The sequence below is a fragment of the Homo sapiens genome, chromosome 20, assembly GCF_000001405.40.
Source record: "Homo sapiens chromosome 20, GRCh38.p14 Primary Assembly".
Taxonomy (NCBI): domain Eukaryota; kingdom Metazoa; phylum Chordata; class Mammalia; order Primates; family Hominidae; genus Homo; species Homo sapiens.
In genome coordinates, this window is record NC_000020.11 from 12,486,176 (window position 1) to 12,504,564 (window position 18,389).

The window sequence follows — 18,389 nt, forward strand, 5'->3', positions numbered from 1 at the left end:
TCTTCAGTTAATAGTAACATGCCAATATTAATTTCCTGGTTCTGATATTTGTACTATGGTTCCATGTCATGATAATATTAGCAGAAGCTCAGATAGAGATTTATGAAAACTTTCTATATTACTTTAGCAAGTTTTGTGTATGTCTAAAGTATATCAAAATAAAAAGTTGAAGAAAAACACACAAGGATTTATTATTTCTCACACTTCCGCAGATTCTCTTGGTGATTCTTTTGTGTCTCTTCTGGACTCACATATCTAGGAGCATTTACCTTGTAGGTTGGCTGAGTGTTGGCTTCGCTGGGACATGAGGAAACTGGGAATCTCTCCATGTAGTCTTTCATCCTGGGCTGCTTTGCATTATGTCAGGAAATGGTTCCAGGAGGGCAAAACCATGAGCTATAAGCCTCCTCTGCCTTCCCTTGACAGTTGTACCACATTACTTCTACATTATTCTGTCAGTCAAAATGGGTTTTGAGTCCAGGGCAGATTAAAGGGGTAGGAAAATAGACTTTAGCTATTGATGGGAGTAGTGGCAGAGTCACATCACAAAAGGTTGTGGACACAGGGAGGTGTCTATGTCTCTTCAGGCTACTATAACAAAATGCTATAGAAACTATTGGCTTATAAACAACCACCATTAATTTCTCACAGTACTGGAGGCTGAAAGTCCAAGATCAAGGTGCCCGCAGATTCAGTGTCTCACTAGGGCCCATTCCTCATAGACAGTGCCTTCTCAATTTATCCACACATGGTGGAAAGGGATAATTAGCTCTCTGCAGTCTTTTTTTTTTTTTTAGTTTTTTTTATTTATTTATTATTATTATACTTTAAGTTTTAGGGTACATGTGCACAATGTGCAGGTTAGTTACATATGTATACATGTGCCATGCTGGTGCGCTGCACCCACTAACTCGTCAACTAGCATTAGGTATAACTCCCAGTGCTATCTCTCCCCCCTCCCCCCACCCCACAACAGTCCCCAGAGTGTGATGTTCCCCTTCCTGTGTCCATGTGTTCTCATTGTTCAATTCCCACCTATGAGTGAGAATATGCGGTGTTTGGTTTTTTGTTCTTGCGATAGTTTACTGAGAATGATGATTTCCAATTTCATCCATGTCCCTACAAAGGACATGAACTCATCATTTTTTATGGCTGCATAGTATTCCATGGTGTATATGTGCCACATTTTCTTAATCCAGTCTATCATTGTTGGACATCTGGGTTGGTTCCAAGTCTTTGCTATTGTGAATAGTGCCGCAATAAACATATGTGTGCATGTGTCTTTATAGCAGCATGATTTATAGTCCATTGGGTATATACCCAGTAATGGGATGGCTGGGTCAAATGGTATTTCTAGTTCTAGATCCCTGAGGAATCGCTACACTGACTTCCACAATGGTTGAACTAGTTTACAGTCCCACCAACAGTGTAAAGGTGTTCCTATTTCTCCACATCCTCTCCAGCACCTGTTGTTTCCTGACTTTTTAATGATTGCCATTCTAACTGGTGTGAGATGGTATCTCATTGTGGTTTGGATTTGCATTTCTCTGATGGCCAGTGATGGTGAGCATTTTTTCATGTGTTTTTTGGCTCTGCAGTCTTTTTTATAAGGGCACTAATCCCATTGAAGGCTTTGCCCACCAAATCTAGTTACCTCCCAATGTTGCCCCTATTATATTAATATCACTGATGTCAGGCTTCAGATTTCAACATATGAATTTTGAGGAAACACAAACATTGAGGTCATGGCAGGAGTCATAATCTATTGAGGTCGTTATTGTAAAAATCTATAATAAGTCACACTGAGCTGCACCAGGATACTCAAGCAACTGAAGGCAGAGACTGGATGCCTCCTTCCCAACTGCAGTCACATCTCTTGCTGAAGCCCCTGGAGAGCATGGGCCTCCTCTCACCCTGAATCATCCTTTGTCATGAAAAAAATCCTCATGGAATAAAAAATAATTCCACCCATACATCTCCTTGTAGAATGTATTATATGTGTATGTATGTGAGTATGTGTGGAGATTTACTTTATGTTTTTAGGTTTATTTTACTTTGTAGTAGCAAACCTGATTGTCCCATCCATTAGTTTAAATTTTATTTCCCAAAGCTCAATTCTGTGTTGATTGCAACACAGATGGTTTCTGGGTGTGTGTAACACTAAGAGCAGGGGTGGGGAGGGCAATGGGAACTTCACTGCTTCACGATAGTATTCACCATAGATAATTCAAAGACTAGATCACCAAGACATTTATAAATTGAAGTGACCCCTGAATTCCTATTTTTCCTAGGATTTTGCTGTGTTACAAACAAAAAGTTTTGCTTAATGTCAAATTAAATGAAGGATAAAATCAACAAGAAAACAGAAATCAATAGTTTTCTATAAAGCATGGAGGAAATCAATAGAAATTGGAAGGATAACTTATTATCTATGTTCAGAGTAATCAGAGTTGAGAAGAAATTCTGCTATTAGTTAATTGACAAGGGCAAACTAATGTGTCTCACAGATGGGATTGTTATTTATTATTTGATACTCAAAGGGGTATTACATTCAGAGCTTCCAGTTACAGGACCCAATAGAAAGTAGCATCTGTACACACTTCATTTTAATTGAATTTGGTGTTCAAATAGAAAATAAAAGTGAGTTCTATCAAAAGACATGAACTCTTAGTCTATATGAGCCCCAAAATAAGGCTAATGCCCTTTTCACTGTTTACTATATGTTTTGAGGCTATTTAAAAACAGGCGATATTATTTCTTATCTATGCAAATGGAACAGTAGTTTCTACTTTTGTCTAAATCTCCCTAAGACTTGATCTGTCAGGAATTTTATGTACCCATGGCCAGCTTCATCTGTCTTCCAGACAGAGTGATAAAAAGTGGAATCACAGCTAATGGAGTCCCATGCAGGTTTGTGCTTTAATTACCTTCAAAACTTTGAAATCAGGATAACCTTTCCAAAGAGAAGTATCTCTAATTTTAAATGATGCTAGTATTTCTTCTAGTTACCACACTTCTTTTATGTCTTTAGCCTGAAAAACTGAAAGCCTTTGATACAGGAAATGAGAAAAGCCCTCTGCTTTCATTCCAGGAGTTAGAAGATGAAGATAATGTCAATGCAGCTAACTGCTAATGTAGTGAAAGGTTATGATGCAAATGGTTTTGATAAAATAAAACTCTTGGTGCCTAGGTATATAGATTCTAATATACATCATTTTAAATACAGAACTTCTATAGAGCAATGTTTTATCTAACAGGTAAAATTAAAGATGTTTACTGAATATAGTTTGTGCTCAATAAAAGTTTCAACTTATGAATACATTAAAAAGGCTAGTGCAGGTTACTTTTTCTAGAGACATTTAGGTTACAAATATGCTTTTACACAACTTCACCTATTGCATTAAATTATGCACTTATGTTTAATAAGATAGCTTGGTTGAACACAGGTTTGAAAATTTGATTCTTGTTTTTAAAGTCCAACTTTTAAGGCTTTCATTATACTTTTCTTTAGAATAAAATCTTAGAATTTTTCTTTTTTGCTAAAAAAACCATAGAACGTCTCTTCTCCTTGTGTTGAAATGAGGTCCATATGGTCAATCTGTGGATAATAATTGTCCTAGGTGCAGGATAATGACCTGGTTGCTATAGGAAAATAGAAACAAAATAGAATAGAATACAGGAATCCTGACCTCCGAAACTTTACATTTTAAAGGAACAGCCAAGGTTAACATAATAGAGAAAAAAACACAAATCAAATATATTAACAATTACATATTAATAAATCTGTGAAAAAACAAAATGGATAAATTCTGAAAAAAATTACATATATATACACATGCTCACAAACTCTTTAAGAAAAGCTAACTTTTGTAAAAGAAATGGAAGAAAGGAAGGGAAGAATGAAGCAGGGAGGGAGAGAGGGAAAAAGAGAGGAAGGAAAGGAGGGATCTCAGTAGTGATACACAATACTGATTTGTTTCTCCATTGTGTCACAGATGCTCTGCTCTATGCCATCAATCATGGACTCAGGTTTCTACTATCTTTTTGTTCCATTGCTCTGTGAGTCCCTGAAGGCATCACTATTCAACTGAATAATTAGGAAGGAGAAGGTTGAACATGGAATAATTAGATCATGGAATATTGTAGGGAGTGTTTTCTGTGTGCCCAGGTTGGGAATAGTATAGATCACTTTCACTCATATTCCACTGGCCAGAACACAGTGCCAAGACAGCCCCCAGTGATCATTGCCTCCTGGTCTTCACACCCTTGTGATGTCCCCTCACATTGTATCTGTCAGAAGTGATGGTATGACTTCTAAGATTAGACTATAAGAGATTTCTGCTTCTATCCGAAGCTTGCCTTCTCTTGAATCACTCACTCTGTGGAAAGCAAACTGTCCTGTTGTGAGCCGCCCTAGGGAGAAACCTACATATTAAGGAACTTCTAGTAGATATCCAGCAAGGAACCAACAACCACCATGTGAGTTGGCTAGGAAGCAGCTTCTCCAATTCCAGGTGAGTCTTGAGATGACAGCAGCCTCTGCTGACATCTTGACTGCAACCCAGTGAGAGACCTGAAGCCAGAACCAAGTTGCTAAGCCACATGGAATTCTTGGATTTCTTGACTGTCAGGAACTGTGTGAGATAATAACTGTGATGATTTAAACTTCTGAGGTTTGGGTAACTTATTACATAGCAAGAGGTAACTAACATGCATAACCTCACCCAACTGAAAGGAAGGCTGGAAAATGACTGCCAGTTGTGTGTCCAAGAGGAAAGGAGAGAGGGTTTAGTGTCCATAGCTGTCTATACCACACTGAATATCCACCCTGGGCAGGTCTTAGGGTCAATGAGACTTTTACCTTCCCCTCAGGAGCTCCTATGGACAACACAGCCACAGAGGCATCACTCAAATTCTCTTCATGCTCTTAGCCTTTTCCATTTACTCTGACAGCCATGCAAGTGACCTCTATAAAGAATGCCAGAATCAATGGTGCCTATGGTTACCGATCTCAGTCTTACTTCCTCATAGATTGATAGTGAAGATTTTGATCTTGTCTAGGGGAATCTAGGAGCACTCAGAACTCCAGACTTCAAGAAATACCCCTGCTCTGATGCACACCCAGATCCTTGTACTTAACCTTCATACTCAAAGACTTTCTTCAGGTCTTTGCAAGCCAAAAGATAATCCATAATAGGCCCAGGGCACCAGAACACATTATCCTCAGGCCTGGAACCCTCCAGTGGATTAGTCAAAGAGCAAAGATGGGATAACTTTATCCACCTGCTTTCCATTGGATATTGCATAGCTCCATAAGAATGCAACACATACTCTGATGGGTAATTTCTTGTGCGAATATTTTTCAGGTAATCACCTTTCACTCAAACTCTTTACCTGTAATCTTTCCTGTAGCTAAAAACACTCTACAGGAAAGAGAAGGATAGCAGTTCCAAGATGGCTGAATAGGAACAGCTCCAGTCTACAGCTCCCAGCATGAGCGACACAAAAGATGAATGATTTCTGCATTTCCAACTGAGGTACCGGGTTCATCTCACTGGGGACTGTTGGACAGTGGGTGCAGTGCACCAAGCATGAGTCAATGCAGGGCGAGGCATTGCCTCACCCGAAAAGCACAAGGGGTCAGGGAATTCCCTTTCCTAGCCAAGGAAAGGGGTAACACATGGCGCCTGGAAAATCGGGTCACTCCCACCCTAATACTGCGCTTTTCCGATGGTCTTAGCAAACAGCACACCAGGAGATTATATCCCGCACATGGCTCAGAGGGTCCTACGCCCACAGAGCCTTGCTCATTGCCAGCACAGCAGTCTGAGATCAAACTGCAAGGCGAAAATGAGGCTGGGGGAGGGTCACCCACCATTGCTGAGGCTTGAGTAGGTAAACAAAGCAGCTGGGAAGCTCTAACTGGGTGGATCCCACCGCAGCTCAAGGAGGCCTGCCTGCCTCTGTAGATTCCTACCTCTGGGGGCAGGGCATAGCCAAACAAAAGGCAGCAGAAACCTCTGCAGACTTAAATGTCCCTGTCTGAGAGCTTTGAAGAGAGTAGTGGCTCTCCCAACATGCAGCTGGAGATCTGAGAACTGATAGACTGCCTCTTTAAGTGGGTCCCTGGCCCCCGAGTAGCCTAACTGGGAGACAACCCCTAATAGGGGCAGACTGACACCTCACACAGCCAGGTACTCCTCCGAGACAAAACTTCCAGAGGAACGATCAGGCTCCAACATTTGCTGTTCACCAATATCCACTGTTCTGCAGCCTCCGATGCTGATACCCAGACAAACAGGGTCTGGAGTGGACCTCTGGCAAACTCCAACAGACTGCAGCTGAGGGTCCTGACTGTTAGAAGGAAAACTAACAAACAGAAAGGACATCCACACCAAAACCCCATCTGTACGTCACCATCATCAAAGACCAAAGGTAGATAAAACCACAAAGGTGGGGATAAAACAGAGCAGAAAAACTGAAAATTCTAAAAATCAGAGCGCCTCTCCTCCTGCAAGGGAACGCAGCTCCTCACCAGCAACAGAACAAAGCTGGACAGAGAATGACTTTGACGAGTTGAGAGAAGAAGGCTTCAGATGATCAAACTTCTCTGAACTAAAGAAGGAAGTTCAAACCCATGGCAAAGAAGTTAAAAACCTTGAAAAAAGATTAGACGAATGGCTAACAAGAATAACCAATGCAGGGAAGTCCTTAAAGGACCTGATGAGCTGAAAACCATGGCACGAGAACCACATGACAAATGCACAAGCTTCAGTAGCCAATTTGATCAACTGGAAGAAAGGGTATCAGCGATGGAAGATCAAATGAATGAAATGAAGCGAGAAGAGAAGTTTAGAGAAAAAAGAATAAAAAGAAATGAACAAAGGCTCCAAGAAATATGGGACTATGTGAAAAGACCAAATCTATGTCTGATTGGTGTACCTGAAAGTGATGGGGAGAATGGAACCAAGTTGGAAAACACTCTGCAGGATATTATCCAGGAGAACTTCCCCAACCTAGCAAGGCAGGCCAACATTCAAATTCAGGAAATACAGAGAATGCCACAAAGATACTCCTTGAGAAGAACAACTCCAAGACACATAATTGTCAGATTCACCAAAGTTGAAATGAAGGAAAAAATGTTAAGGGCAGCCAGAGAGAAAGGTCGGGTTACCCACAAAGGGAAGCCCATCAGACTAACAGCTGATCTCTCGGCAGAAACTCTACAAGCCAGAAGAGAGTGGGGGCCGATATTCAACATTCTTAAAGAAAAGAATTTTCAACCAAGAATTTCATATCCAGCCAAACTAAGCTTCATAAGTGAAGGAGAAATAAAATACTTTACAGACAAGCAAATGCTGAGAGATTTTGTCACCACCAGGCCTGCCCTAAAAGAGCAGTGCCCTGAAGGAAGCACTAAACATGGAAAGGAACAACCGGTACCAGCCACTGCAAAAACATGCCAAATTGTAAAGACCATCAATGCTAGGAAGAAACTGCATCAACTAATGAGCAAAATAACCAGCTAACATCATAATGACAGGATCAAATTCACACATAACAATATTAACCTTAAATGTAAATGGGCTAAATGCTCCAATGAAAAGACACACCAGCCAACTGGATGAAGAGTCAAGACCCGTCAGTGTGCTGTATTCAGGAAACCCATCTCATGTGCAGAGACACACACAGGCTCAAAATAAAGGGATGGAGGAAGATCTACCAAGCAAATGGAAAACAAAAAAAGGCAGGGGTTGCAATCCTACTCTCGGATAAAACAGACTTTAAACCAACAAAGATCAAAAGAGACAAAGAAGGCCATTACATAATGGTGAAGGGATCAATTCAACAAGAAGAGCTAACTATCCTAAATATATATGCACACAACACAGGAGCAGGCAGATTCATAAAGCAAGTCCTTAGAGACCTACAAAGAGACTTAGACTCCCACATAATAATAATGGGAGACTTTAACACCCCACTGTCAACATTACAGATCAACAAGACAGAAAGTTAACAAAGATATCCAGGAATTGAACTCAGCTCAGCATCAAGCAGACCTAACAGACAACTACAGAACTCTCCACCCCAAATCAACAGAATATACACTCTTCTCAGCACCACATCACACTTATTCCAAAATTGACCACATAGTTGGAAGTAAAGCACTCCTCAGCAAATGTAAAAGAACAGAAATTATAACAAACTGTCTCTCAGACCACAGTGCAATCAAACTAGAACTGAGGATTAAGAAACTCACTCAAAACCTCTCAACTACATGGAAACTGAACAACCTGCTCCTGAATGACTACTGGGTACATAACGAAATGAAGGCAGAAATAAAGATGCTCTTTGAAACCAATGAGAACAAAGACACAACATACCAGAATCTCTGGGACACATTTAAAGCAGTGTGTAGAGGGAAATATATAGCACTAAATGCACACAAGAGAAAGCAGGAAAGATCTAAAATTGACACCCTAACGTCACAATTAAAAGAACTAGAAAAGCAAGAGCAATCGCATTCAAAAGCTAGCAGAAGGCAAGAAATAACTAAGATCAGAGCAGAACTGAAGGAGATAGAGACACAAAAAACTCTTCAAAAAATCAATGAATCCAGGGACTGGTTTTTTGAAAAGATCAACAAAATTGATAGACAGCTAGCAAGACTAATAAAGAAGAAGAGAGAGAAGAATCAAATAGACACAATAAAAAATGGTAAAGGGGATATCACCACCAATCCCACAGAAATACAAACTACCATCAGAGAATACTATAAACACCTCTACGCAACACAAATAAACAGGAAAATCTAGAAGAAATGGATACATTCCTCGACACATACACCCTCCCAAGACTAAACCAGGAAGAAGTTGAATCTCTGAATAGACCAATAACAGGATCTGAAATTGAGGCAATAATTAATAGCTTACCAACCAAAAAAAGTCCAGGACCAGATGGATTCACAGCCGAATTCTACCAGAGTTAAAAGGAGGAGCTGTTACCATTCCTTCTGAAACTATTCCAATCAATAGAAAAAGAGGGAATCCTCCCTAACTCATTTTATGAGGCCAGCATCATCCTGATACCAAAGCCTGCAGAGACACAACCAAAAAAGAGAATTTTAGACCAATATCCCTGATGAACATCGATGCAAAAATCCTCAATAAAATATTGGCAAACCGAATCCAGCAGCACATCAAAAAGCTTATCCACCATGATCAAGTGGGCTTCATCCCTGGGATGTAAGGCTGCTTCAACATACACAAATCAATAAACGTAATCCAGCATATAAACAGAATCAATGACAAAAACCACATGATTATCTCAATAGATGCAGAAAAGGCCTTTGACAAAATTCAACAACCCTTCATGCTAAAAACTCTCAATAAATTAGGTATTGACGGGATGTATCTCAAAATAATAAGAGCTGTTTATGACAAACCCTGAGCCAATATCATACTGAATGGGCAAAAACTGGAAGTATTCCCTTTGAAAACTGGCACAAGACAGGGATGCCCTCTCTCACACTCCTATTCAACATAGTGTTGGAATTTCTGGCCAAGGCAATTAGGCAGGACAAGGAAATAAAGGGTATTCAATTAGGAAAAGAGGAAGTCAAATTGTTCCTGTTTGCAGAAGACATGATTGTATATCTAGAAAACCCCATCGTCTCAGCCCAAAATCTCCTTAAGCTGATAAGCAACTTCAGCAAAGTCTCAGGATACAAAATCAATGTGCAGAAATCACAAGCATTCTTATACACCAATAACAGACAAACAGAGAGCCAAATCATGAGTGAACTCCCATTCACAATTGCTTCAAAGAGAATAAAATACCTAGGAATCCAACTTACAAGGGATATGAAGGACCTCTTCAAGGAGAACTATAAACCACTGCTCAACAAAATAAAAGAGGATACAAAGAAATGGAAGAACATTCCATGCTCATGGGTAGGAAGAATCAATATCATGAAAATGGCCATACTGCCCAAGGTAATTTATAGATTCAATGCCATCCCCATCAAGCTACCAATGACTTTCTTCACAGAATTGGAAAAAACTACTTTAAAGTTCACATGGAACCAAAAAAGAGCCCGCATTGCCATGTCAATCCTAACCCAAAAGAACAAAATTGGAGGCATCATGCTACCTGACTTCAAACTATACTAAAAGGCTACAGTAACCAAAACAGCATGGTACTGGTACCAAAACAGAGATATAGACCAATGGAACAGAACAGACCCCTCAGAAATAATGCCACATATCTACAACTATCTGATCTTTGACAAACCTGACAAAAACAAGAAATGGGGAAAGGATTCTCTGTTTAATAAATGGTGCTGGGAAAACTGGCTAGCCATATGTAGAAAGCTGAAAGTGGATCCCTTCCTTACATCTTATACAAAAATTAATTCCAGATGGATTAAAGACTTACATGTTAGACCTAAAACCATCAAAACCCTGGAAGAAAACCTAGGCAATACCATTCAGGACATAGGCATGGGCAAGGACTTCATGTCTAAAACACCAAAAGCAATGGCAACAAAAGCCAAAACTGACAAATGGGATCTAATTAAACTAAAGAGCTTGTGCACAGCAAAAGAAACTACCATCAGAGTGAACAGGCAACCTACAGAATGGGAGAAAATTTTTGCAATCTACTCATCTGACAAAGGGCTAATATCCAGAATCTACAAAGAACCCAAACAAATTTACAAGAAAAAAACAAAGAACCCCATCAAAAAGTAGGCAAAGGATATGAACAGATATTTCTCAAAAGAAGACATTTATGCAGCCAAAAAACACATGAAAAAATGCTCATCATCACTGGCCATCAGAGAAATGCAAATCAAAACCACAATGAGATACCATCTCACACCAGTTAGAATGGCAATCATTAAAAAGTCAGGAAACAACAGGTGCTGGAGAGGATGTGGAGAAATAGGAACACTTTTACACTGTTGGTGGGAGTAGTTCAACCACTGTGGAAGTCAGTGTGGCGACTCCTCAGGGATCTAGAACTAGAAATACCATTTGACCCAGCCATCCCATTACTGGGTATATATCCAAAGGATTATAAATCATGCTGCTATAAAGACACATGCATACGTATGTTTATTGTGGCACTATTCACAATAGCAAAGACTTGGAACCAACCTAAATGTCCATCAAGGATAGACTGGGTTAAGAAAATGTGGTACATATACACCATGGAATACTATGCAGCCATAAAAAATGATGAGTTCATGTCCTTTGTAGGGACATGGATGAAGCTGGAAACCATCACTCTCAGCAACTATTTCAAGGACAAAAAAACCACACACTGCATCTTCTCACTCATAGGTGGGAATTGAACAACGAGAACACTTGGACACAGGAAGGGGAACATCACACAGCGGGGCCTGTTGTGGGGTGGGGGGAGTGGGGAGGGATAGCATTAGGAGATATACCTAATGTAAATGCTGAGTTAATGGGTGTAGCACACCAACATGGCATATGTATACATACGTAACAAACCTGCATGTTGTGCACATGTACCATAAAACTTAAAGTATAATAAAAAAACTCTAGAATTCCTCTATATATTTCCTTCAAATAATGCAAATTTTTGGCACTACATATAAAATTATTAAAATCTTTTTGATGCCCCTCAGTGGCCTCTTCTGTGATTTTATCATTTCTCCCTAAACTGATGGAAACCATAGTTCTTCCAAGGACTTGATATCAATCTTTCACATCTTAATAAAAATTGAGTTTATTATGTAAAAAGCTTTGCCTTGAAATATATATTTTAAAATTTTTCATCATACACAAGAAGTTGTAGTGACACTGTTACTATCCCATTCAGATCCCCTCTACCATGTAGCTGGTTGCTGAGTGTTGTAGTGGCTGTGAATGTTGGATATTATTGGCTCTCGGCTCCTTACTTTTCTGTTGAACTGCCCTGTGCAGATAGGAGCCACCTTGCTGTGAAGATTATGCCCTCCCACCCCAGGAGCAGCTCACAGCCAATGACTGACTAATATAGGAGTATAAAATCTTCCCCCTTTGACTCATGAAGGGATAATTCTGTGGTCCCTGTCATACTCCAGAACTCCCTGTGGGATCAAACTGAAACTAGGCTTCAGTTGAACCACTTCCTTGTCTAGCTTCTTCCCCTACCCTCTTCTGCTTTCTCCACTCTCTGAGAGGGTTCTCCCTCAATAAATCGCTTGCACAAAAGCCCCATCTCGGTCTCTGCTCCAGAAACCCTAAGAAAGAATTTTTAGATATTACTGCAGAGAAAAACTAGCAAAAGGAAGAGTAAATGGCTTTTCTATCCTCTGGAAATAATAATGAAATGGACTCCCATTGTGTCTATACATTGAACTAGCTCAGAACATTGAGGTAGTTGTCATCACTTACCATTAGGGAAAATAAACCGACAAAATAAAAAAAAAAAAAGTAAACAACACTACCATCAAAAATTGTGGCTCTCTCCTTTTATCGTTGGTACTAGTTCTTGTTCAAATAGAAATCAGACAATTATCAAGTGGAAATATAGAGTTTAGAGTAAGAAGACCTAAGCTCACCATTCTCATTTTATAACCTGGAGATTTTGACTTCACTAAGTCTGCTTTAATTTCTGTAAAATGGGGTAAAAATGCTTTGTTATCTGTCTTTTATTATAGAAGCACAAATAAATAATATAGGAGAGTGGGAAATGTATTACTATTTTTATAGCAAAACGTGAATTTAATAATTCAACTTTGCCCTTTATTACTAAGGGCCTTTAATTTCTCCAACAGCATTTTTTAGAGCCTCACATTTTATTGTTCATACTATTGTGTGGGTTTCCTTCAGAGTGAGGAATTAAGACTGTCTTGAATTATGGGGAAGAGTTTATAAACAAAGCATTGACTAAGAACTGAAGTGACTTAAAAAATATTTACCACTGAACTTTGTTATGTGAATGTGTGTTCTACTCATGGAGAACTATACACATATTTTAGTGTGCTGCCAATCTTTAGCATCTTTGGAAGTTACATCCATCAGTGTGGAATTCTCACCTGAGGCCTGCTCTTTCAACAAACATTGTCTGAGGGCCTGCTATGTGACTGGAAATGTGCTAAGCGCTAGGCATGCTAATTAAACCAAAATTTTTATTTATGATTAATATTTGTCCACTGATAATTAATTTGATTTTCCCATGAATAGATTTTCCCATGAAATCTAACAATCACAGGGAATCAAGTCTATTAGAAAAGTCTGGAACTAAGAAATAGATGATTACACTTGGTATCAAACATGAGCTAATGATTGGAATACAATGAAACTGATTTTTCCAATAAGGCTGGCAAATTTGATCCAAAGTGAGTTCCAGACTAAGGGAAAACTAATATTTATTGAACACTTAATACGTTCCAAAAATTATATTTTCCAAATATCACTTTAGGGGATTATCTCAAAAGCCCGTCATCTGTACTTGCCAGTGAGATTCAGTGATTATTACAGATGAGTTTGTTAGGATTTGGCAGTGGCAGATACAATCTCACATCACTCTGATGTCAAAGTCAAAGACCATGTTCTTTCAGTTACAACAGTAACGTATCCCTGGGGGTTTCAAATGTTTTATGGGCAAAGGACATAAAATTGAAATATTTACATAGCTTCCCGAGGGGAACCACTTAGAAATAAAAAAAACATAGGGGATCAGTAAGTTTTGAATTGTTTATCAAAGAACATCATTCTTTTTGATAAGTGTATCTTGTACTTCCATGCAATAAGAAGAGCAATTTCCATTCCAACAAAAGACAGCAAATTCCAACTGAAGGATGACGAGCTGAGATTTACAATGGATTACCCGATGAAAATCACTGGACAGTAACTCCAAGGTGACGGGATTACAAAGTTTAAAGCACTTCAAACCTATAATTGTTTGCCACATTCGTGATTTAACTTGAGGGTACCTAAACCCTATTTGTTGTAATACAGAGAATTTCCCAGCACTAAAAACAAAAATGTCCAAATAGGTAATATGTTTCTTTGTTCTTCCATAACATTGTCATCACCAAAACCCAATCAGCCAGCCCTGACACGATATCCTCCTCTTAGAATCAAATTGGGGAGATAATAGCAAAAACCATCATTTATTACAAATTCACTATGTACATTATTATATTTCATGCTCTTAATATAGCTAAGAAGTGGACATTATTATTATACCTCTTTTATAGGTGAGGTTTACAGAATGTAAGGATTTTTCATATAACACATAGTTTTAAGCAATGAATGCAGGATTTGAACCCAGTGGTATCCAACCACACATCTTCATTTTTTAACTATTATATTATAATTTTATCATCACTGCAAGAAAAGTAAAAATAATTTTTAAAACATAAAAAATGAAAATAAAGGTTATAAATATCAATTAATACCACCACAGTACAAGAAGAAAATGGGTCACACAGTGCCAAATATATGGGAGAGTAATGAGGACCCTTGGATTTTGGGAGTCTGAGTCAGACTCCACAGAAAATGGTAAAGCATTCTTGAGAAGACTTTTTCTGTCTTTAACTGAAATAATAATTTATCATTCAACACTTTTCACTCTTCGGTTTGTAGATAAAATTTTTGTCATGAATTAAATAATATAATTGTTTGTTCAATAAATAGCAAGTTACAGAAGCATGAGTGCTGGCCTTTCTTAGCACAATGTCCTGCCATTAACCTACCAATTGTCCTCTTCAGCCCCACTTTTTTCTTCTTGACTCAAGACTGGTCCAGATAACGGAACCAGCAATTCAGAAAGGCTCAGCCACACTTATGGAGCACTCCTGGGTGCCAAGCATTGTGCAAAATGTCTCACAAACATCCCAGTGCGTTCTTTTGGTGGCCCATTATCTATATTTTCCAAATAAGGGATGTAAAGGATAAAATACCTGAGTAACCCTTAGAAAATTAAGAAAAAGTTCTTCCCAAAGTTTCCTTTTCTGAAATCTTACGAATCAACCTTTCTTCTCGTCTTAGAAATGAGCTGGATATGGCTCATTTACGATGCCAGAGAGAGAAAATATACTCACTTCTTGGATTCTTATGTGAGGCCATTCCCTTTCCGCCCACCCACTTTATTTTCTAGGGAAAGACTTGACCATCCTCTTTCCTCAGTTCAACAGTGGCCAGTCCATGTACTGGTTTGAGACAAAGCGATGAAAAATCTTGCATGTCTTGTTTTTCTCATTTCAATTCTCCTTGGGAGAATGGGATTGTAGTTACGGTAAACCAAACATTGCTTTTCGGCTTTCATGAGTTTAGTAAAGTCTCTCTTTGAGTTTCTTGGAGGTAGAGACTATATCTTATTGATTTTTATTCCTCTAGCTCCTAATTTAATATCTGGTGCATTATCTATACACCATGAGTATGATATGAATTTGATTCTATAAAAAGTCACTTACGTGATTTGGATGTTTAACATTATTTAACATGGGCAAGGGCACTCATTTTATAGGAAAGATAAGGCTTAAAGGAAATCATTACCACAAAAGTCAGGGGATCCGTTACCTTCAAGTTGAAGGAAAAATCTCCCACAGGCAAAAGATAAACAGGAACTTTTTGAGGCACTGTCAATATTTTATTTCTTGATTTGCATGGTAGGTACCCAAATGCTCAGTTGCTAACTATTATTTAAATTTTCATAAGCACTTTTCTGTATGCTTTATAAATTTTATGAAATACATCATACATGTATAAAATAGATGAAGCAAACAGACATGTGTTTGCACAATTTAAGGGAAATTATAAACCAAACACTACGTAATCACCAAACCACATGTGTTACTACCAAGCTAAAATGAAAAAGAAAAAAATAAAGGTGACTTAAATTAAAATGCCCCTAGACAAAGTAATTATCCGACTTAACTTCCAATGTCCATGCACGTGATACTTCCTTGTGAGGACAAGAAAGGGAGTGGCACAGTGAATATGGAAAAAGAGTGTCAATAATGGGATTGAAGGACAAGAGGAAATAGTTCTTGGTTCATAGGTTTGGGCAGCAAATATTCTATCTATGTGAGTGATGAAGAGATACGTACTCCTGTCAGAAGGATGGCTCCTTTCTCTTCATAGGGGATAAAAGATGAGTGGAAGTCAGACTAGTGAGGGGAGGGTGTTAGATGGTGGTTTTGATTAACCTGATAATTTCAGGTGAAAAATCAGATCTCCCAGATTAAGATTATGATGCTCCAATAATGCTGTAATATTACTTAAAGGAAAAGATGGGGAGCTAAGTCTTGGCAATTGTCACACAAAAATTATTGATATATTGATCATCTTAAAAGGTTACTACGTTTATAAATCATAACTGTTATGGAGCCATGGATTGGTGGGCTGCTGATTGGTATTACAAACTGACATCGATGAACTATGGTGGCTTGACATTTGTTCCTTTGTTCTTCTCTATGAGTTAATTTATGTGACAGGCTGTGTTTTTGAAGGTCTGAGCTTTAGAATGAATCAGAGTAAACAACTGCCCTGCAGTAATAAAATGCCTACACCTATTTGCTGAATGAATCCTTCTTAGAAAGAGGCAATTCTGAATGGAATGGCTCTCTACTTAGAAAGCTAATAATTAAACACTTTTTCACCAGTGGATCAAGACCCATGGTTGTGGGTGTTATTATCCCCTATATAGAATATGTTCCATTTTCCCATGTTTAAATTCCTAAGACCAATGGAATGGAAACATAGAATTAACCTGATTGAAGCAGAAAGCATTCTGGAGTAAAAACCTCTCATTCTCCTGGTCTGTCTTAATGGGAAATCAAATGTGATTTGTGTTGTGTGGAGATGATTACCGATGGGTAATTATTCTAAAATATCTCTTTTCAAATCCTTTACATGGCAATCAAGGAAGAATGTGAGAGGTTAGGCAATACATTACCAGGGCTAACAGCAGCATATAATTTCTTAATTATGCATAAAAATGAATAGCAATACCTACTGAAGGAGGTCTTGAATTTCCTTTGTGAAGTCTGGAGGACACACAGGCCTCCGAGCCTTATTAGAGAATATGTGGTTAAAAAGACAGAAGCAAAGATTCTTCTTTCTAATAATTGTGTGACTGAACCTCAGTTTTCTCATCTCTAAAATAGGAATAATGATACTTTTTTACTTGGAGCTGTGGTGTGAATTGCATTATGTAATGTCACAAGCTGCTTATTTTTGTGCCTAGCGTATAATACAAGACACTCAACAAATGATAGCCCTTATTATGGCTGTTATTATTAGTAGTAGTGTTACTATTACTACTTCTTGTACTACTACTTTTGGCTAAGGCTTACCTAATTCAGGTAGAAATAAATTTAATTGAAATGAATGTCACTTGGATATTTCATTTTGTTATGAAGTTATTGACACAGTTAAAAGTAACACACATTATTAAGGTAAGTTTTAAAACTGTTGTGGGAGAGTCTATCATAATATTTTCCTAAAAGCATCTTCTGTTTCACCATGGTAAATTATTCATCGGTTTCTTTTAGAGTGGCATGTGCTATTTGAATGTGGCAACCAGCTTTAAATAAATTAACGTATTTATTTACACATCCCAACACTGCATCCTCTAATTTTGGGGGGAAAATATGTACATTTAAAAAATCTATTATGAAGGCTTGTCAGGAACAGATGAAGTGCTATGAATTGTTACTATTTGTGTTCTCTTTTTTTTTCTCAGCGTAAAAAGAGTACTTTAACATTGTGCATCCTTTCTTAAGGAATTTAAGAAATTACCAAATCGAGCAGTTGGTTGAAGGAGACTTTAAGCTCTCAGCTACTCAAGTAGCCAGTGCCACAGATTTCCAGCTTTGGAATCACATTTATGAGCAGTGACAAACCAAAGCAGTACATCTACATGGTCTTGTTGCCGTGTTTGATTGAGGGTGATGAGGAATCTAATAAAAGATGTTTTGTGTAATGAGAATAACACTATACCCAACACTTCATATAGAAGCAAAGCTGGACTGAGAGTTCAACTCCCCTGGTGAGGCCATATGCTAAACACCTTCATCTCTGGTGCATCTCATTCCTCCTTCACCATTTTCACTTCCACTGTCCTAAGACCTAAGAAAACTGGAAGATAAAGGAAAGCATGCTACATTTTTATTGACTCACAAGGAGGCAGGAACAGAGATATTCCTAATCAAAACAATAGATGGTGACTATAGATTGGAAGTTAGGTGAACTGTGGCCCTTAGAAGGAAAGAATCAGCAACTAGAAGCCAACCAGCCTGAGCGGAGTCTCAGGCATTTCTCCTAGCCAGAGGCTTCCCATTCACTCTCAGATGTTCCCGCTGTACCCTGCCAGGCCACTAAGTCATTATCATGGGCAGAGCTTTGTGTCACTGGGCCTGGCAT